General features: G+C 40.1%; 1 long non-coding RNA gene and 1 pseudogene across 1 annotated transcript in view; both read left to right on the plus strand.

The window, feature by feature from the left end:
* LINC01033 (long intergenic non-protein coding RNA 1033) overlaps positions 1-18962 on the plus strand; it is a 94182-nt gene extending 75220 nt beyond the window's left edge. Inside the window, exons 2-5 of the long non-coding RNA NR_126379.1 lie at positions 5480-5702; positions 7360-7625; positions 12292-12358; positions 18859-18962. This is a non-coding gene — a long non-coding RNA (long intergenic non-protein coding RNA 1033). The remainder of the gene's footprint in view (positions 1-5479; positions 5703-7359; positions 7626-12291; positions 12359-18858) is intronic.
* RPL37P25 (ribosomal protein L37 pseudogene 25) lies at positions 3276-3870 on the plus strand (annotated as a pseudogene).
* Positions 18963-22361: the final 3399 nt, after the last annotated feature.

Raw genomic sequence — 22361 nt, forward strand, 5'->3', positions numbered from 1 at the left:
ACCTGTGTGCCAAATACAAGAGAAACATGGATGGACCTCAAGAGTCTACTGGGAGAAACAGGTAAGTAATCAAGCAGTTACCCTTGTAGCTCGTGGGTCAGTGTATCGGATCCTGGGAAAGCCAGATGAAGGACCCATAACCCAGACTTGGGGTTCAGGGAAGGGCTTGAGACCTAAAGCATGAGCAGCTGTCAGGTGAAGGGAGTGGGGCTCAGGGTTTAGCTTTCACTGAGTTTTTGTTCTTAATAAAGAAGCTCTGTTTCCAGATGATTTATTAATCTCTGTCATTGCACTCCGGACATTAAAAAATACCCAAGACATTTCTTAACTTGTCAAGATGTGAAATATAATGAGCATAACAAAACAAGTCGGCTCCTGATTTATTTGGGCCCTTGAGGCCTCCAGTTTGGCCAAATAACCTTTCACCTGGCTGTGAACACTACATTTTAGATTTGAAGTTACATAGGAAATTACACCCACCAAAGTCACCATATGTGATAAAAAATATTACAGGATCTCTTTGTAAAGAAGTTACAAATCATGGTTGCTTTTTTGATAAATGTTTCTAGTAATGAGTGGTAGTATCTTCAATTTATTCAAGGAGAGTTTTGTTGAATGATTTTCTTTGACATTCATTGAATATCCACTCCCTGCCAGATGATACTGAGAGATAAACTAATGCCACACGGTCTTGAAAGAAGTCAGTAATTTTTTTTTTAAATGGTGTTATCAATAAGTAATAAGGCCCATTCCAAGGCCTTACACATACTAGAAGGCTTCTGATACACACTAGGCCTTATTGTCATCACTTCCTTCTCATTCTTTCCACATAGCTTCTTTCGTGGCAATTTTCCCCCAGGAGGGATTTCCCTGCAGTGGACCTCCTCCCCAGTGGTACCTTCAGCCATCAGAACACCTCGCTTTAGATCTGTGGGTCCCAAATTTCATCAAATCCAATGACCATTTCTATGGTAGGTACTTTGCTATATACACCTTTGACTACCTGGAAATGAAATAATTATAACTACTTTCTTTGTATGTATCTATTAGATTTCCATTGGTGTATTACATTAATTTTTTAAAATTTTGTGCAAGGAGATTTTCTTTATAAATTTCAGTATGTATAGTAGAATAAAACCTCACTAGATTAAGATACAATGAAGTTATGGCACTTTAATATGTTTGTAGACTCACCTTGAATGCTGCAGCTACAAATGCAGATTGAAAATTGTGTTTTTCTCTAATTGTAACCAGCTTGGTAAAATTCAAACAAAACAATGTATGATAGTCCCTCAATTTATATGGCAGTTGCATTCCTGGAAATTTCAGTGAGTATTAAAGTCATACACAAATTCTTTCCTTCTTTTTCTTTCTTTCTTTCCTTTTTTTCTTTCGCTCTTTCTTTTCTTTCTCTCTCTTTCTTCCTCCCTTCCTTCTCTTCTGCCTTCCCTTCTTCCTTCTTTCCTTTCCTTTTCTTCTTTTCCTCCTCCCTCCCTCCTTCCCTTCCTCCATTTCTCCTTCCTTCCCTTCCTTCCTTCCCTCCTTCCTTCCTTCCTTCCATCCATCTTTCCCTTCTTCCCTTCTTTCTTTCCATAAAAGAAAACATAAGCCCTTTGCCTGGGTAATTATAAACAGGTTTCTCAGCAACATGAATGCTCTTAGAGCATTACAGTTCCCACACAGTTATTCTCTGTTGTGTGGAACCATCCCTTTCAGCACAGGCAGACTAGCATCTCTGGCCCTTGGCTCACAAAGACTCCCCATAATTTCCAAAATGCCTTCCAGAAGACAGTGAAAACCATCTTCCCCACACACCTTGAAAACCATTATTCTAGAACCTAGATGGATTTTATCTTCCTTTTTCTCAAACCAGGCTTGCAGCTAGCAGCCAAAATAGAAACACCTGAAACTCATTTAACACAAATGTCTTTGACTGACAACTTTATCTCTTTCTTCCAGGGATAATTTACCTCTTGCTAGAATAAGTGCCTAATATAAGGTAGAAAATTATAGAATTCTAAAATTTAGCAGCAATTTTGATAAGAAGAATTTTGCCTGCAGAACCTTCCAAGTCGCCTCTTGCCATTTGTTCTACCTACAAAGCACATGTGAGGCCCAGAAGGTGGTTTTTCATGCCTTTAATAACCATCTGGGCAGCAGCAGGAAGTTACTGACTTTTAGGAAGATGACATAGACCTTAAGCTAAGGCACCTGGGCTAGCTCAAAGAAAGGCAAACTGTAAACTGTACTTAAATATGTATTCATTCAGGGCCCCAAGGGAAATAGCACACTCAAGTTAGGATAATTCAAGGAGGTACTAATAAGGGGGTTGTTTAGAAAGCTATGGGTAGGGTGAGGAAAACCACAGCAATAGTGCAGGACTTTAAGAGCTATTACTATCCTTGAGCCTCAAGGGATAGGGGAGACAGGAGTTCCTGAAACCTCTTAAAAAAAAAAAAAAAGCACTCATAGCTGGGCGCGGTGGCTCACGCCTGTAATCCCAACACTTTGGGAGTTCGAGGCAGGCGGATGACCTGAGGTCAGGAGTTTGAGACCAGCCTGGCCAACATGGTGAAACTCTGCCTCTACTAAAAATACAAAAATTAGCTGGGCATGGTGGTGTGCGCCTGTAATCCCAGCTACTTGGGAGGCTGAGGCAAGAGAATCGCTTGAACCCGGGAGGTGGAGGTTGCAGTGAGCCAAGATTGCACCACTGCACCCCCACCTGGGAGACAAAAGTGAAACTCTGTCTTAAAAAAAAATAAAATCACTCAGGGCAGAGCAGCTGCCTTGAGAGGACTCATGTACTTTATGGAAAAATGCAGTTAGTCCGAGGTGACCCTACATGAAGGGAGTTGGGGAACTCTCCTTCCTCCCTCTGTTCACTATTGGAGAGGAGAAAGCCAATGGGAATCTAGAAGGCAAGGAAGACTGTTGATGTAGGTCACGGAGGTCCACCTCCTGGGCAGGGAGGAGGGTGGAGAAAGTGGAGAGCAAACCTGGAGGGAAAGCAGCTAGGTATCTGTTGTGCTGGACGTTTTCTAACTTCTTTTATGGAACTTCTGGAATGGTAGCCCATTGTTAATTGATAGTCTTAATCTTGCCCCTTAAGGTAAACATATTTACCTACTTTTAACATGTATGGACATTACCCAGTTGAATGTATTGTGCATAGTGTACAATTATGTTTGACAAATGAAAATGGAGCAAACTGTGCTTGAGACTACAGGTCAAGAAGATGAGAAGTGTCTGGTCTTGGCCACAGACACAAGACGATGAATAGAAAGTCACCATTTGAAAAGCATTGCAATAAGAAGTAAATGTGCTGCCGCAGTGGCGCCAAGGCCTACCAACTTCAGAAGTTGATCTGCTGCAAATGCGGCCACACTGACAAGAGCAAGAGAAAGTATAACTTGAGTGCCAGGGCTGAAAGATGAAATGCCACCAGTACTGGTCAAATGAAGCACTTAAAAATTGTACACTGCGGCCGGGCACAGTGGCTCATGCCTGTAATCCCAGCAGTTTGGGAGGCTGAGGCAGGTGGATCACCTAAGGTCAGGAGTTTGAGACTAGCCTGGCCAACATGGTAAAACCCAGTCTGTACTAAAAATACAAAACAATTAGCTGGGTATCGTGGCGCGCACCTGTAATCCCTGCCACTCATGGGGCTGAGGCACGAGAATTGCTTGAACCTGGGAAGCTGAGGTTACAATGAGCCGAGATTGTGCCACTGCACTCCAGCCTGGGCAACAGAGTGAGACTCTGTCTCAAAAAATAATAATGATAATTGTACACCTCAGATTCAGGATGAATTCTGTGAAGGAACAACACCTAAACCCAAGAAGGCAGCTGTTGCAGCATCCAGTTTAGCTTCAGAACGTCAACAATTAGTCATGCAAATAAATGTTCTAGTTTTAAAAAATAGAAATAATCCTGGCTAACATGGTGAAACCCCGTCTCTACTAAAAAATACAAAAAATTAGCCAGGCGTGGTGGTGGGTGCCTGTAGTCCCAGCTACTCAGGAGGCTGAGGCAGGAGAATGGCGTGAACCTGGGAGGCAGAGCTTGCAGTGAGCCAAGATTGTGCCACTGCCCTCCAGCCTGGGTGAAAGAGTGAGACTCCGTCTCAAAAAATAATAATAATAATAACTAAATAAACAAATAAAAATAATAAAAATAAAAAAATAAATAAAAAACAAGATGCAAAGTGGAGTTAATAGAAAACAGTTCTAGGAGATTACTGTTAAGACTCAGACTATGCACTGATGTTCAGTCCTTAGTAATTGGTGGCAACCTGGTGGAGAGGGAAGACCACAGGCTGTGGAGTTGGACCTGGGTTTGAAGATTGGCTTTGCATGCCTAGCAGGATGTAAGCTTGGCCCACTGACTTCACTTCTGAGCCTTGTTCTCCATGTCTGTCAAGTGCAGGGGAAGGGTTAGTGAAATCTATCTTATATTTTTATGGACACTAATGAGATTGGGAATGAAAACGAGATGCCCATAAGCATCAGTGCATCATAGGTACTTGGCCAGTGGTTCTCAAAGTGTGGTTCTCAGACCAGCTGTATCAAGATTGCCTGGGAATTTATAAAGGAATGGAGATTCTCCAGGCCCAGCAATCAGCATACTAAAGCTTGAGAACTGTGTTAGACTTTCTGGGATCTAACGAAGAAGGCAGGACAGATTTTGTTAGATGTATTACACAAGGGGCAGGCACCTGTGCACAAAAAGACCCCACAAAAACACAGAAAAAAAACACAGAAGAGGTGCTTTTTGTTTTGCTCTCTGTGTGATAAGCTAATCTGATAAGTGAGAAGTCCTGTTCTTTCTATAACTGGGTAGGTAAGTCTAATTTGGAGGTCAAGTATTGAAGCTCATTGTAGCCACATGTCTAGGCCACCTCCTCCAATTTAGCTTCTATCAATAATAAAGTTAATATTTTGATCTATTTGTTTGATTCTTGCATTGCATCTACTTTTCAATTTGTTCTGGTACGGGAGAGAAAAGGAGTTCTTTTAAAAATTATACTCTGTGGCTGGGCACAGTGGCTCACGCCTGTAATCCCAGCACTTTGGGAGGCCGAGGTGGGCGGATCATGGGGTCAGGAGATCAAGACCATCCTGGCTAACACGGTGAAACCCCGTCTCCACTAAAAATACAAAAAAATTAACCAAGTGTGGTGGTGGGCACCTGTAGTCCCAGCTATTCGGGAGGCTGAGGCAGGAGAATGGCATGAACCCGGGAGGCAGAGCTTGCAGTGAACCGAGATCGTGCCACTGCACTCCAGCCTGGGGGACAGAGCGAGACTCCATCTCAAAAAAAAAAAAAGAAAAAAAAGCAATTATATCTGTGATAGCCTCCAAAATTACCCCCTAATAATCCCAATTCAGGTATTCCCACCCTCCCTTGTGGTTCCAGAGTTAGTTTGTGTGACCAGTGCAATATGTCATTAGACATTAGGTCTCTCTGTCTCTTATAGATCACTCATTCTGGGGGCAGCCCTCTGGCATGTAATGAGCAGTCCTATGGAGAGGCCCATGTGACAGTAGCCATGCGAGTGACACTGGAAGTGAAACCTGCAGCTCCAGTCAAGCCTTTAGAAGACTGCAGCCCTGGCTGACAGCTTGACAGCAAACTCATGAGAGACTCTCAGCTTGAACAACTCAGCTAAACTGTTCCTGGGTTCCTGGTCCTCAAAAACTGTACGAGATGAAAAAAAAGTTTGTTTTTTTAAGCTGCCAAGTTTTGGGATAATTTGTTATTCTAATATATTTTTTAATACCTGGAAGTAAGGTGCTACCATAATAAATACCTAAAATGTAGGCACAGCTAGGAAACTAGACAGTGGAGGTAGCTGGAAAGAATTTAAGAAGCATAGCAGTGAAAGTCTCAGGAGCCTTGAACAAAACATTAGAAAAACTTTGGACTTTGACCAGGCTGCTGGTGGAGGTTTAAAAGAAAGTGAGAAAAATCTTGTTGAAAACAGAACAGGGAATCCTTACTATGGAGTGGCATAAATCTTAGCAATATTGTTGTCTGCAATAATGTGGGTGGTGGGAATGTACCTGGTAAACTGGGTGATCTAATTTGCTATTCATAAAGACATAAAGATTCTCAGCTTTTACAGATGGTGAAAAATGCTAAATTAAGAAATGGCTGAAGGACAGAGGTCAAATCCTGGGCACCATCATGAAAACATAATCCAAAGATGAAGCTGAGATGTGACTATAAATCCTTTGTTATGACCTCAGAAAGATCAAAAGTGGTGCCTCAGAGTACCAGTTTGGTCACACAAAGGCCCTCTAAAGTTTTTAAGGCTGTGACTCACAGATTCTTTCAAAAACAGGGCTCCTGAGAAGCTTAAGAGCATAGTTTTTCAGCAGAATCACAAGGTGGGAAAGGGATTATCTCAAAAAGATTTTTGGGCGTGACTTTTGTCTAATGGAATGGACCCCCAAAAATTCATAGGTGATTCACAAATTTTTTAAAAGAATTATATTAGTAGAAACATTGCCAACTAGAACTCAAAGGGATAGAGACAGTATGAAATGAAAAAAGGCCTTGGTACTCACTTTGCCCCTGTTTCACTGCAGGTTAAGAAAAAATTTCAGCTGCATACATGTACTAACTTTCATGAAAAAGAAAGAATAGCTAAGCATGGTGACTCACTCCTGTAACCCCAGCACTTTGGGAGGACAAGGTGGGAAGACCACTTGAGCCCAGGAGTTTGAATCAGCCTGGGCAACATAGCAAGACTCTGTCTCTTTTTAAAAAAGGATGACTCTGAAGGGGAAGCTAAAAGCCTCAGAGAATAACTCATGCGTAGAAATAGGACTAAATCCTAAGGCGATTCCAACATTTGCCTGGCTGGATTTCAGAGCTGCTATGGGGACATAGTAGTGTGTCCAGTACCTTTCCTTTTTGAATATTAATGCATATAGTGTTTATTCCTGTTCCACCATTGTGTGTTTGGGGTGTGTGTGTGTGTGTGTGTGTGTCTATGTGTGTGCGTGTTAGTTTCAGATTGAGAGGAATTATACCCAAGGAGCTAGAGTTAAGAAATTATACCTAAGGAACCTCTTGTGTACCTGGTCCTGATTTAAATGACAAGACTCTAGACTTTGAGTTGATGCTGTAATGAGACAAGAATTTTAGAAATGTTGAGATGGAGTGGACGTGTTTTGCATGTTGGAGGGACTTGATTCACTGGAGCCTAGAAGGCAGACTATGGTAGCCAGCCCTCAAGATTGTCTCCTCCTGGTATTCATACCCTTGTATAATTCCCCTCCCACATTGTACCAGAATTTATCTGTGTGACAGAATATGGCAGAAGTAATGATATGTCACTTCTGAGATTAGGTTATAAAAGACATTGTGGCTACCATCTCTCATCACTCACTCAAAGGGAAGCCAACCACCATGCAATGAGAATCTCAGGTAATGAGGACCTGAGACCTGTTGTCAATCACGTGAATAAGCTTGGGAGGAGATTCTCCAGCCCCAGTCAAGCCTCAGAAGACTTCAGCCCTAGGTGACAGCTTGATGATAATCTCGGGAGGCAGAACCACCCAACTAAGCCACTCCTGGATTCCTGACCCTGACCCTGACCCTAGAAACAGTGTGAGGTAATAAACGTTGTTTTAAGCTCTTAAATTTGGGGGTAAATTTTTAGGCAGCCATCAATAATTAATACACACCTCTAATGTATTTGTACTTACACCACATACCATGGGATCTCACAAAAGAGCAATTTTAAAGCTTGCTTGGATAGCCGATATCTTTATTTTCAGAACATATTCTTCATGCATAAAGAAGCAAAGACTCTTTCCTTCAGTATAATCCTTTTGATAGAAGCGAAAACTTAAGTCTGGCAGTTTTCCTAATATATGTTTTTCACACTTTTCCTTTATTTTAGGCAATTCTAAATAGACAAAATCAACTTGAGAGTGTTCTTGGATTTAATTTAGAAACAACCCCAGTTAAGCTTTTCATAAAACTTTTAAATTGGGCTGGCTTTTATTTTAGGAATATGAATGTTCTTGGAATTCTTCCAGATCTCTAAGCAATAATCTTTTACGCAATCCCCTTTATTTTGTTATGAAAAAAGAGCCTAGGTAGTTCTTTTAAGGTTTACTTTTTTGTAAAGGTATCTTTAAAACATCCAGATGCCTCTAGACATTCAAGATAGAACGAGGCACTCACAACTTCTATCTGCCTATGTTTCATCTATTTTTCTATGCTGTTGTGTGAATTTTGACGTTTTATTTTGTCAAGAATAGTGGTGAAAAACCAATGAATTTTTAAGTGATTGAGCTCTAACATTTCCTACATTCTCCTTCCAGAAAGTAAATACACAGTAATTATCATTCATTATTACCTTCTCCATCTGACAACTGCCTTTCACCCCTCAAATTATTGTGCATTTCACATTCTTTTTTCTACCTAGGACTAATTTGTCCAATCAACCGGACATCTGTTTTTCTTCCCCTTTTTTGAAAACAGGCTGCTTCTATGTTTTCAGGGCCTTCCTTTCTAGAACATGTAAGAACTTGTTCTCAGACTACTTGTAAGCAAGACACTCTCTGAGGTTACAAGTCTGGAAGCACTTTCTGAGAACAATTAAAAGATCTGTCTGCCTGTTAGGGCGTTCCATGGGAATGTTACACTCTTTGGAAGAAAGCTTTGTGTAAGCAACAGTCACTTCTACATAGACAATACAAATGTCACTTCATTTATTAACATTACGTGTCTAGATGATTGACTGCCCTTGGAAAAATATATATGGAATGAGGCAAGCTTATTAAAACCTAAATAACTCTGAAGATCTCTTACTTGGTCTGTAAACTTTCTACTCTTATAGCTCATGCATTTTCACAGGAAACAAAAGCCCTTAAAGGCCAAATTTCCACAACAAAACAGTGAATCTTTTCAGGATATAATCCTTCAATTCTTTCCTAAGTACGTTTAGATAATTTTTTTTTCTTTTTTTTTTTGTTTTTGAGATGGAGTTTCACTCTTGTTGCCCAGGCTGGAGTGCAATGGTGCGATCTTGGCTCACTGCAACCTCTGCCTCCCGGGTTCAAGCAATTCTCCTGCCTCAGCCTCCCAAGTAGCTGGAATTACAGGCATGTGCCACCACACCTGCCTAATTTTTGTATTTTTAGTAGAGACGGGTTTTCACCATGTTGGCCAGGCTGGTTTTGAACTCTGGAACTCAGGTGATCTGCCCGCCTTGGCCTCCCAAAGTGCTGGGATTACAGGGGTGAGCCACCGTGCCCAGCCCTTTTAGATAATTTTTAAATCAGGAAATATATGATGGTGATGACCACATGTGACACCCCAGCCATGAATAAGTTCTTGGCCTTTCTTTTGACTTTAGCCTCATTCTTCCCCTTATTTTCTTTTTCCTACTTTCTTCACCTACTTCTCTGTTTCTCCGTTTCCCTTTTCTGAATCACGCCATGATGCCGTAAAGGAATCTCCTTGGGATCTGGTGCTGGATGCAGTCTAGGGGGTGCCCTTTGTCAGAAGAGGCTGAGTGGAAAGGAAAGTGGCCATAAGCAAGCTGGTCAGTTCCCAGGCAACCAGGGAGGAAAGACAGGGTAGGAATCTGAGGAGCCTCACCAGGGAAGCCCCAGGCCGTGGGTCCCAGCCTTTTGCCTTGAGCCTCAGGAGAGCTCCCATGAGGAGAGCTAGATCCAAGGCTCCACTTTCCTTTCAGTGCTGTGTTTTTAAACTCTCCTCATGTCTGATTAAATGTATATGGGCAGCTATATTGGAGAGGAACTAAAGGGCTCTAGGAGTTTCTCACCAGGTTCCTTTTGTATCTCTTTTCACTAGCAGAGGTGTCTGCTATGGGTAGGATTCCCTCTGGGGTTCCCTTTGACCAAGCTTCTGCAGCCAGAAGCACTGAGGAGGGCACTGGGGTGATGGGACTGACCCTGAGGCCCTGATCACAGGACTCCTAAGTAGGAGTTCCTCTGAGGAGATATGCTAGGACCTGGTTTATCAAACCAGCAATGGGATATCTGGAAAAGCCGCTGGGGGGCTGCCAGGACTGCTTCTCAACATACTGTGTGTTAACCTGCATTAACACTGCACGAAGCAGGAACTTAGAGTTTTCTGAGCTTGGCTCAGTTTGTGTGTAACAACCAGGCTGAGGTTTCAGGGGTGGCTCCATTTGGGGTTTAACCTGCAGACCAGAGGAGGGAACAATGAAAGACTAGTTGTGTTTCTGTGTTTCTGTGGTCTGGAAGAGGAGGTGAAGAGAGCGTAGGACAAATCACTGAGTGTTCATGTCAAAATATCTGCAGACTGCTCAGCTTGGTTGCTGTTGAGCTCCCTAGTTCAGCAGCAGCAGGTCGAGGACCAACACTTATCCTCGGATAATAATGACTACTATTTATTCAGTCCTCCCATGTGCTAGATGACATATTAGGTGCTTTATGTGTACAACCTTAGCAATCCTTTAAGAGAGGTGATATTCCCATTTGTCAAATTTTAGAAAGCTAGTTAGACAGTCCAGAGAAGATTAGTGGTTTGTTCAATGTTAGGCTTCCAATAAGTGGCCAAAATTTTAACTTTGGTACACAGTTATCTTTGCTAAGACATCATATGCATTCCTAAAAAAAAAAAAAAACACTCTTCAGTTAGCAATATAGTATACTTAAAATAATAGGGCTTATGAGAAAAATGGGGTTGGTGTTAGAATTAGGAAGTAAAAAACCTGAGAGTGTAATACAAATAGAAATACTAGCATGGCTGAATCTCTGTAAACATTTGCCTTTAGCATCACAGACAGCCCTTTGCAGCCTTATATCCTGGGGCTCAGGCTTCTTGTAGGTCCTTGGGGCATTCACTGCCAATAGAGAACATAGGCATCGACATTAGAATTCTGATCTAGGGTTTCAATACAGAGGGATGTCTCTTCAAAGCATCTTCAACTGCACTCACAGCTTCACCAGATAGTTTAATATAATAGAAAACTTAGTGGCTGGTTTAATGGCTTCAAGAATCACTACCTCATTGAAGGTCTTCACTGTATGGAATATACAGGTTTTTCCCTAACGTACTCATATATTTCTTAGATTTTCTTCCTCCCAGTAAAAAAATTTACCCTGATCACCTCAAATGATGGGTTGGCAAAAATCGCATATTCACCACCACAACTTCTGCATCATGATCTTCAGTACCCAGTTTACCTGTCACTTATGAGATACTGTTGCATGAAAGGAAAGAAATGCTGCTTCAGATAGAACCAGACTGTTTCAGAGCCCATGTGATTTCTTTTGTGTTCTAAAGAGTCCTCATTGGCCTTGAGGGAAGTTTAGACAGGCTGGAGCGTTGATAACTGATAGACTATTTTTTCTCCCCACGCAACCACCATGGCATGATGCTACTCAACAAAATGTACAGTGGTTTTTTTCATTTCATGTAATACCGAGACTATGTTAAGATTTTGTGATAGTCAGGCCGGGCGTGGTGGCTCACGCCTCTAATCCCAGCACTTTGGGAGGCTGAGGTGGGCGGATCACGAGGTCAGGAGATCGAGACCATCCTGGCAAACACTGTGAAACCCCGTCTCTACTAAAAATACAAAAAAATTAGCCGGGTGTGGTGGTGGCCGCCTGTAGTCCCAGCTACTTGGGAGGCTGAGGCAAGAGAATGGCATGAACCCGGGGGGCAGAGCTTGCAGGGAGCAGAGATAGCGCCACTGCACTCCAGTCTGGGCAACAGAGCGAGACTCCATCTCAAAAAAAAAAAAAAAGATTTTGTGATAGTCTCAAATGCTTTTTACAGCTGGTTTGTTCAAATTAGGATCCAAATATGGCCTAAATATTACATTTGATTATTATATCTGCTATGTATTTTATTCTATACCCTTCTGCTGTTTTTTAATACAGTTGATTTGTTGGAGAAGTCCATTCTTCATACCACAGAGTATTCCATATTTGAATTTGGCTGATTGCTTTCTCATGATGGTTTTAAAAAGTAGTTCCTTTATTCCTCATATTTCCTATAAACTTATTGTTAGATCTCGAAACATGTTCAATTTGGTATGAATACTTTGTAAGTGGAGCTTTATAGTTCCTATGGCATTGTATCTTGAAATACAATGTCAAGGCCTATCTAATTTGAGTGATGCTAAAATTGATCAGTGTATTAGGAAGTGGCAGCTGGATCCCTCCTTTACAATATTTATCAACCATTGATTATCCTAGATCCATAGTATCTCACTAAAATTGAAAGATAGTGATTTTCTAAGCCTATCATTTCTTCTGCATTTGTTAGCTGGAATTCTGTGAAGCACATGACCTCAAGTCTTTGGATAAATGGAAACGCAGCTTATGCCGGAAAGGTAAAATCTTGATTCTTTTCTTTTATTAATTTTGAGAGTAGGCCAGGAACAGTGGCTCCCACCTGTAATCCCAGCACTTTGGGAGGCCAAGGCAGGTGGATCACTTGAGGTCAGGAGTTTGAGACCAGCCTGGCCAACATGGTGAAACCCCATCTCTACTAAAAACACAAAATTAGCTGGGTGTGGTGGCGTGCACCTGTAATCCCAGCTACTCAGGAGGCTGAGGCAGGAGAATCGCTTGAACCCAGGAGGCAGAGGTTGCAGTGAGCTGAGATCACACTACTGCACGCTAACCTGTGCAACAGAGGGAGACTTCATCTCAAAACAAACACAAAAAAAATTGAGAGTAGAGTTGGTGCCCTAGCCAACTCAGATGGTGACCAATGCGTTGATCCCTGAGTATTGTTGTGAACTACTGAATGTTTATATATTTATGTTTCAAGCAGTGATATTGTTCCTTTTGGCTTGAATTGTCACAACTTTGCCAGCAGAAGCCTTTTCAGTTTAGGTCCTGTGTACTTTTGACATGACCTCTTTAAAGTTTGATTATTTCCCTGCTTTCTGGCAGAAAATTATGTCTTACTCATTTTGTAAATGTCCTGATGTGGACCTAAAATCAACTATTTCTCAAAAGGAATTTCTTTTAGTGGAGAATGATATTTAAAAATCACAATTCAGGCACTAAAGGGGATTTTACTCTTGAACAAGAGCTGATTGCAATCACGTAGGTTTTTCTTGGTGCCATTTCAATTTTCTAGCTGTGCACTAATAGTTATAAATGTTTTTCCTGCAAATTCTTTGAGAGAAAATATCATTATTGCAAATATAAAACTTGGTATTCTTGACTCCATTTTTCCTTAGGAAAAATTTTTTTCTGCTTCTTTGATAACATAAATATTCTTTAGAAATAAAACTATTTAGTTTAGCCAAATGAGTAGAGAAGTGAACGGGTAGAAGTACTAGGGAACTACCCTAGATATTTCAAAATGCTCAACTACAAGGTTTTGGACTCAGAAGCTATGCTTCAAAATTTGTTTCTGTTTTCAAGTATTAACAAATTTAAAAGCATAAACATTTGTTCATTTTTTGGTAGGAACCTTAATGTTTTCCATTTTGTAGATTATTTTAGGTATATGGATATTAACTATTTTGTTTCTATCCTTGGTTCAGAAATCTGTTCATTTTATTTGTGGCTGTCATTTGCAATTCTTTAAATTAACACATGAAAAGAGATCCAATTCCAACTTTATTAGTAGACAAATGATATGCAAATTAAAACAAGAATATTTTTATTACAACAAATTAGCAAAGACCTAAAAAATTATACTCCATTCCAGGAAGTTTTAAATGACAGTCTCACTTTTTTATGCATGCCCTGCTATCAAGTTTCTGGGTTTTGGGTTTTTTTCTACTCGATATGTCTCCCATTTTCTCCCTTCCTCAATTACAGTATCAGGGTCCCCCTCACCATGCCCTCTATTCTGACCTGCCAGGGTTGAACAGACACAAAGATGCCCAGCATAAAATTCAGGAGCCCATGAATTATTCTCTGTAAAGGGCCAGATAGTAAATATTTCAACCTGTGAGAGCTAAGCAGCAAAATCAAGATATTATGTAAGTGCTAAGAGTACAGTAGCTCACGCCTATAATCCCAGCATTTTGGGAGGCTGAGGCAGGAGGATTTCTTGAGCTCAGGAGTTTGAGTCTAGCCTGAGCAACACAGTGAAACACCATCTCTCTCACTCTTAAAAAAAAAAAATGGTAGCTTGCACCTATAGTACCAGCTACTCAGGAGGCTGAGGCAGGAGGGTCACTTCAGCCCAGGAGGTTAAGGCTGCAGTGAGCCATGATCATGCTCTTGTATTCCAGCCTGGACAACAAAGTAAGACTGTATCTCAAAAAATAAATAAAAAATAAATATAAAATGTCACCATTAAAGATGTAAAAATCTACTTTTAGGTTGGGGAGCTATACCAAAATAGGCAGCAGGCTATATACAGTTACCAACCCCCGGCTTAGATACTCCTCAGAAAGGACTTATTGCTCAGCTGAGAGGAGGAGTATTATCTAACAGCCCCCAGCAATGAGTTTCATCACGGTCCACTCCTCAACCCACCCTGCCCCTCCTCTAAACCCATTCCACCTCTCCCAGTCAATGACGGAGAGAGGCCTGGTCTCCTGCCGACAGCCAGCAAGGAAAAGCAACCTGAGTCCTATAGCTGTAAGGAACGACATTCTGCCAACAACCAGAATGAACTAGAAAGTGGATTCTTCCCCAGAGTCTCAAAATAAGAGTCCAGCTCACACCTTGACTTGGGCTTTCTAAACAGAGAACCAGCCAAATTAACCCAGATTTCTGAAGTATAGACCTATGAGATAGTAAATGGGAGTTATTTTTAGCTGCAAAGTTTGCAGTAATTTGTTATATAGTAATAGAAAATTAATAAACTGAGAATTGTAGTTTGCAGAGGATAGCCCCTGTAACATGGAACAGACAGGGGAAAGACAATGAATGGATCTGGGAGCAAATAAGCCAATGGCCAGACAGACCTTATCACAACTTTGTTTTGTACATCCTTTAGCCTAGATGTTTTTGGCATGTATGGCTCACTCTACGTTGTCTCAATGAGTAAAGAGATTTATTTGTGATGATGACTGGGATGTTAGGGATTTCGGCTAATTATTGTTAGTTTTATTGGAGAAAGACTTTGTTAATTGGTGAATGGCTATGTGAGCCTTTTCTTTCTGTCTGATTCTCTCCCCTCTGCTGTGGTGTTTGCAATTGAGGAACAGCTACTAAGAGGTGGCAGCTGCAGAGAAAAGTCCAGAGCCATACAGATGAGGCTGGGAACTCTGACTAGCACTGAGTATTTGAAAGAGAGCTTGGCGAAAGTCTGTTACTACATGTAGCAGATACCTGTGACTGCATATAGGGAGTGAAGGAGACAGCCAAAAGTGCACTTGAGGATAACAAATGGCCAGCCCCTACATGATCACTCATGAAAATCCAACAGAACCCAGAAGTCTCACTTAGCTTTAAAAAATCCATTATTTTTTTCAGACAGAAGCACTTAGGGAAGCAAAATGGCTTATTTCAGCATGAGAAAGCAATGTAACAGTACAGCTAAGCTTTGAGGGTCTCCTGATCAAAAATTTGTGAGACTAATAGCTTACACAGGAAAGAGATGATAGCCCTTTTGAATGCCTTCTGAGCGCTCTTACGAGATGCGCAATCTAATTGTGGTGTAAATACCAGCTATTGATGGTGGGTTTTGTTCATCGGGTTTGTGCTACCACAGTACCAGAGGTCTGTATCTATTAGTGCTAGTAATGTATGGATGACCAGGGCTGGTGCAGACATCTCTGCAGCAATAATAAAAGGTAAGAAGATGCAGACAAAGCTGAATTTATTGTGTTTGAGAAGATATAGAATTCAATTTCCCTGATAACCAAGCTTAATTGCACAGAATTATGAGAGCTCATTAATGAAACCCAATATAGACAGTTTATATTAGTAATGGCATTACATTGATTATCTAATTTCAGAGTAAGGAATTAAAGGGGGCCAAATTAGGGATTATTCTGCTTTTACGTAACACCTGTAGTCAGGAAAAATAAATAGCTCCCGTTATTAAACTAAAGCTTTTGTATACAAAAGAATGCTAGATAATAAATGTAGAAATAATGATGGAAATAGAAAATATTTTTGCAAGACATTATGAAATAATCAATCCAAACAAGGATCAATAATGAATGCTAAAACTGTTAGTTGAACAGTCAACAGAGAACCAGATATTCAAAAAGCACCAAAGTATCACCCTTAAAATAACAAGTAATTTGCTATTACTTGTTTATAGCAAACGGAGGAAAAAGTACCCTTTACCATGGAGAAATATGGCTATTATCACTAGGTAACTTACTATCTGATTGTCCCACTATTAATGATGCTGTGTGACTTCTGAGGTAATGCTTTATAAATTATATGACAGCACCTGTCAATAATATTTAAGAGATAATGTTTAAGATGGAAATGGAATCTAAAGGCTGGATTAGATTCAAGTTAAAGGAAATTCAAAGCAGAGAAGAACAAATTAAGGTACACTTGAACACATTCAGAATATGGGACAGAATAAGACAGCTGTTCTGGTCTCAAAAAAAAAAGTTAATGACAAGGAAAAAAGGAAGAGGAGCTAGGTTAAGGGACTAAACAGGCAAAACCAATTCAACATGGGATTCTTGAGTGGATTTTGGTTTTTAAAAAAGCTTTAAAAACACTTTGGGTTAATGGTGAATTTTGAATATGGAATATTCAAATATCAGGCAGGGTCCTCGCAGGAAACCGATGGCAAACTCAAAAGAACTTAATCATGAATCAGTTAAAGAAGGGACTATTGAGGGATGTAGGCAGAGCTAATGGAATCAATAGGGGGTGCTGAGGCACCCAGGGCGCAGCAGGGAAGCTGTCACCAACTGCTGTTAGACCCAAAGGAGCAGGCATGGGGGCAGTTATGAGTGTCTAGTCACAGCTGGAGCTGCTGAACAGAGTACAGCTTCACAAGGGATACAGTGGCAGATGCAGCCAGTACCGGACAAGGAACTCAGCAGGGAGGAGCAGAGAGAGTATCCCAGCCACTCTCCCACCCTCTGATCTCTTGCCAGGGCTCACCATTGGCCTCTGATGCCTTGTAGGTGCCTCCAGTTGGCTGACCCCAGTTGGAGTCCTGGCCACCCATGGCAGTCTGTAGAAATAAGCCTTTTGGAGCTGAGAGCAAAACAGAAAAAAGTGGAGAATGCATCTGGAGGTAGAAGGCAAAGGGAGAATAAAGCACGACAAGTACAGAGTAGATTAGAGAATTACTGTTGATTGTTAGATGTAATTGTCTTGTGAGATCAGAGAATGCTCAGTTTTTTTGTTTTTTTTTTAGATGTACATTGAACTATTAAGGAATAAAATGTCATAATGCCTCATTCATTCTGAACTGATTCAGCAAGAGAGACAGATAGATAAGTAGGTAGATAGACTAGATATACAAAGCACATATAGACACAAGCTTTTTTCTTATTTATTGCTACCAACTTCATGCATCCAGCCTCCAATCGTGTCATGCCTAAAGAAACAATCCCTGCCCCCGTTTCTTAGACCCAGTACCTGGCACATGATAAACGATAAAAAATAAGTTCTTACCCATGCATCCCTTTTTCAGTGGGAATTATACTTCTTGGCTGCCCCCTACACACTTCTATTATAAAGAAATTTATATTGTTATATTTTTTCACCACAAGAAAAATTATCAGGTTTAAAGAGGGGGATTAACTAATGATAAAGGTGTAAACAGTGCAAGAAGACTTAATTATTCTTAGCGTGTGTGTGGCTAACAACAGAGCACTAAAATGAGTGAGGCAGAAACAGATAAAAGTGCAAGGAGAAATAGATAAATCCAGTATCATAGCTGGAGAATCCAACACACCTTAATAAGAAATGGACAGATCCAGCAGGCAGGAAATCAGTGAGGACATAGCTGAACTCAGTAGCAGTACCAATCAACTAGATATGATTGATATCGGTAGACTGTTTCACCTTACACATTCTTCTCAAGCTCACATGGAACATTCACCATAATACACCACATTCTAGGCCATAAAATGCACCTTAACAGTTTAAAAGACTAGAAATCACACATCTGCTTTCAGACCACATTGTAATTAAACTAGAAATCAATAACAGAAAGATAGAGGCCTCAGCTCCTGCTGATGAAAAAATAATAACTGAAGGATAGCTAGAAAATCCCAAATACTTGGAGATTAAGAAACACTCTTCTAAATAATATATGGATAAGAAAAAAATCTCAAGAGAACTTAAAAAATGTTTCAAACTAAATGAAAATGATAATACAACTCATTAAAATTTGCATAATGCAGCAAAAACAGTACTTGGAAGGAAATCTATAGCATTGAATACATAAACTAGAAAGGAAGAAAGATCTACAATAATCTAAACTTCTATTTTAGAAAACTTAAAAATAAGAGCAAACCAAATGCCAAATAAGGAGAAGAAAAGACAATGAAGAATTAGAGCAGAAATCAGTGAAATGGAAAATAGGAAATTAATAGACAAAATCAAAAGTTAGTTCTTTAAAAAGAATATTAAAATTGGTTACTCTCTAGGCCAAGAAAAAAAGAGAAGACACAAATTAGAGTTGTCCCATGATATCCCTGGGGAATTGTTCCAGGACCCAACATGGATACCAAAATTTATGGATGCTCAAATCTCTTACATAAAATGGCACAGTATTTACATATAGCCTACACACATCTTCTCTCATGCTTTAAATCATCTCTAGATTACTTTTAATACCTCACACAATGTAAATGCTATGTAAATAATTGTTACAATGTACTGTTTTAAAATCTGTATTATTTTATTCTATTTTTATTTTTGCTTTTCAAAAAATACTTTTGATCCATGGCTGGTTGATTTTATGAATGGGGAACCCATGAAGATGGAAGGCTGGCTGTACTAATATCAGAAATGGAAGAGGAGAGACATCACTAGAGATCCCATGGATATTGAAAGGATAATAAAGGAGTATTATGAGCATTGTTATATTTTATGTCTCCTATAAGCTGTAAATTCCTACATAGCAAGAATTCTGTCTTACTCATCCTTTAACAACTACTGTGTACCTTATAATGTTTCATAAAATATTATGATTTGGTTTTATTATTCACAAAAGAATGCTATAAGAGGTGAAAAATGGAGAGGCTAGAAAGCATAAAAACAAGTTACATCAGGTGGTAGAGCCTGGTTTAAGGGTCAAAGATAAAAGAAGGGAAGGTTAAGGGCAGGGCTTTAGAGGGAGAGAGGATAAACACAGTTTGATTAAATGGCTGATTCAGCCGGGTGTGGCGGCTCATGCGTATAATCCCAACACTTTGAAAGGCTGAGGCAGGAGGATTGCTTGAGCCTAGGAGTTCAAGACCAGCCTGGGCAACATGGAGAAATCCTATCTCTACCAAAATACAAATACAAAAACAAAAATTAGCCAGGTGTGGTTATATACACCTGTAGTCCCAGCTGCTTGGGAGGCAGAGGTGGGAGGATTGGTTAGGTCTAGGAAGTTGAGGCTGCAGTGACCTATGATTGCTCCACTGCACTCTAGCCTTGGTGACACAGAGAGATCCTGTCTCAAAACAAAAACAAACAACAACAACAAAAAACATATATATATATATATGAGGTTTATCCACAGTAAAGTTCAGTCTAGGGTTAATAAAAGATTCTAGGGTTCACTAAGACAAAGAGTAGTCGCAGTAGCAGAGCCTTGGGTGAAGCTAAGGTCCCCAGGAGATCTGGGATGTCTGTGAGGAACAGTGAGGCTTAGTCATTCAGACAAGCCAGCAGAAGTGAAGTTTAGAGAATGTGGATGGGCCTCAGGCTCTAGACATCAAAACAAACAGATAGAAAAGGCAGAGTGTAGAATCCAGACAGTGAGGCTCACAACAAGGTATGCAATTCTGCATAAGCAGATTTGAGGGGACACCAACTATGGACTGATGTAGATAAATATTTCTGGTAATTCCAGTTAGTGATTCACTCTGAACTCACATAGGATAGTATCTCTTCAAAGGCACTTGTGTTGTAATTAAATGCACACATAAGACATAATGCTTATTGAGCCCTTAGCATGTACCACCCACTCTTATGCATACTATATGTTTAAACCATTTAAACTCACACCAACCCCCTGGGGGTAGGTAGTATTATTATCCCTGTTACAGATAAGGAAAGTGAGAAGTAGGAGTTAATTGGTCTCATGATCCCCTACAGGCTGGCCTTCCAGAAAAAGGAGGTAACTTGCCCCAGGATACCCTGGAAACCAATCAGAATGAATTGCCTTAAACTCTGGCTTGTAGCCCAAAGCAAGGCTTGCCCACAAGTCTTGCCAGTATGTGGTTGAACAGAAATTAGAATCCAGACAGCCTGAGTCCTTTTCTTGCCAGGCAGGGGCTGGGGCTTCCCCAACCATGAAAGTTCAGGTGGTAGATCCTGCCACTGCTTTGCACACCAGCTCCCTGGTGCTAACCTCAACTGCCAGTGCTGAGCTGGAAGGATAGGGCTGGAGGCAAACTCCTACCCCATCATGTTGCTGGTGTATTCCATCCTGGTATTGGTCACACCAAGGAAGGGCCTGGACTTTCCTAATCATGCAGCTTAAAAGCAACACAAGGCAAGGCGGGGAGTCCGCTCTCCTGAAGTCTGACATCCAGGAAGACCAGATTGCTATGTGCTGTCTTTGACTTACTTGGAGACTCACACACCTACACTAGTGCCCCCTTATCTGAGGGGGATGCATTCCAAGACCCCCAGTGGATGCTTGAAACCATAAATAATACCAAACCCTACATATACTATGTTTTTTCATATATATACCTATGATAAAATTTAATTTATATAATAGATTAGGCAGAGACTAATAACAATAACTAATAATAAAATAGAAGAATTATAACAACATACTATAATAAAAGTTAACGTGAACATTGTTTGTCTCAAAATATCTTATTGTATGTAATATTTTTGGACTGTGGTTGTTCATAGCAAGTGAAAACTCAGATGGGGGAGGGTGGCATACTGTATTTATTTTCCTGTATCCATTAGTGTTTCCCAGTGAACACTGCACCAGGAGGTTGGCCATTTGTCTTTATTTATACATCAAACTAAGGCATGGAGAATAAGAGCTTGGTAAGGTCATATAGCCAGGAGGTGGTTGAACTGAGATTCAAACTGAGACAGTCTGAGTCCAAATTCTACCACCTCTTGTGTGTGACATTTAATGGATAGGTGGGCTTTTGTAACCAGTGTCTCTGCCTTTCTCCATGATTCACAGCACAGAAACTTGTGCATACATTCTCACTTGATATCTGAATGACTGTAACAGTGATGTAAATTAACAAGGAAGGGAGATAGCCCTGATTTAATTGGAAATCACTGACAGAGCTCGCCCAGTAAACTCTCTACAAACAGAATACAAATGTTTTGTATTTAATTGCTAAAGTGTTTTAAAATTGAACTCAAATTAATAAATACTTATTGTATCTGTCAGTTAAACGAAACAACCAATAAACAACCAACTCTGTTTTCTAATCAAGAGGGACTGATCCTTTAAAAAAAATAGGGTTTAAAAAAGATGATATGATCAATGTAAAATTGGATTATAGACTTTTAGAGTCTTAAAAGATGAGAAAAGAGATAAAGATGAATAGATATGGAGTAACTAGGATAAGACTCTCTCACAAACTGGACCTTAAACAGATTTAGGAAGAAATATAGGATTAGGATAGAGAAAAAGAAGAGAAAGAATTGCCTATAGGCATAATAAAAAGCACAAGTGTATCAATCAACACAGGGTATTGTGGACCAGTGAGGAAGGATCATGATCTAGACTAGGGGATTCATGTTGGAAACAGTGAGACAAGTTAGAAAGGATAGGATGGGACATATTATATGGTTCCAAACATAATAAATGAGCACTTGAGCTAGAAAGTAGTATAATGTTCACAGGTGGTAAAGAGGTATAATGAAAAAACTATACTTCACAAAAATTAGTGGTGTTCAGTGGGTTGGAGAGAAGACCAATTAGAAGGTTATCTGTGGAATTACAACAACCCAGTGAATTGAGCTGATGGAGAGAGATGCTCCTCCCACTACCAACACTCAAACATAAGGCAAAAATATTTATAGGTGATGAGTAATGATGAAAAAACAAAAGAACAAATGATAGATGACATGAAGAATGGGAGTAGGGAAGACCATATTTAAGACTCTGAGGTCATTAAATGATGTAACATGTTTACTAGCCCAAAAATATATACTAAAAGAGTAGAAAGAAAACAAAAAATTTCCAAATCAGTAGCAAGGATCAAGAAAACAATCCAAATGGAAGGAAAGAACAATGTCCCTTGGAACATAACAATAGAACATAATATGAACAGTACCTCCTTC

The sequence above is a fragment of the Homo sapiens genome, chromosome 5 (genome assembly GCF_000001405.40).
Source record: "Homo sapiens chromosome 5, GRCh38.p14 Primary Assembly".
Lineage (NCBI taxonomy): Eukaryota > Metazoa > Chordata > Mammalia > Primates > Hominidae > Homo > Homo sapiens.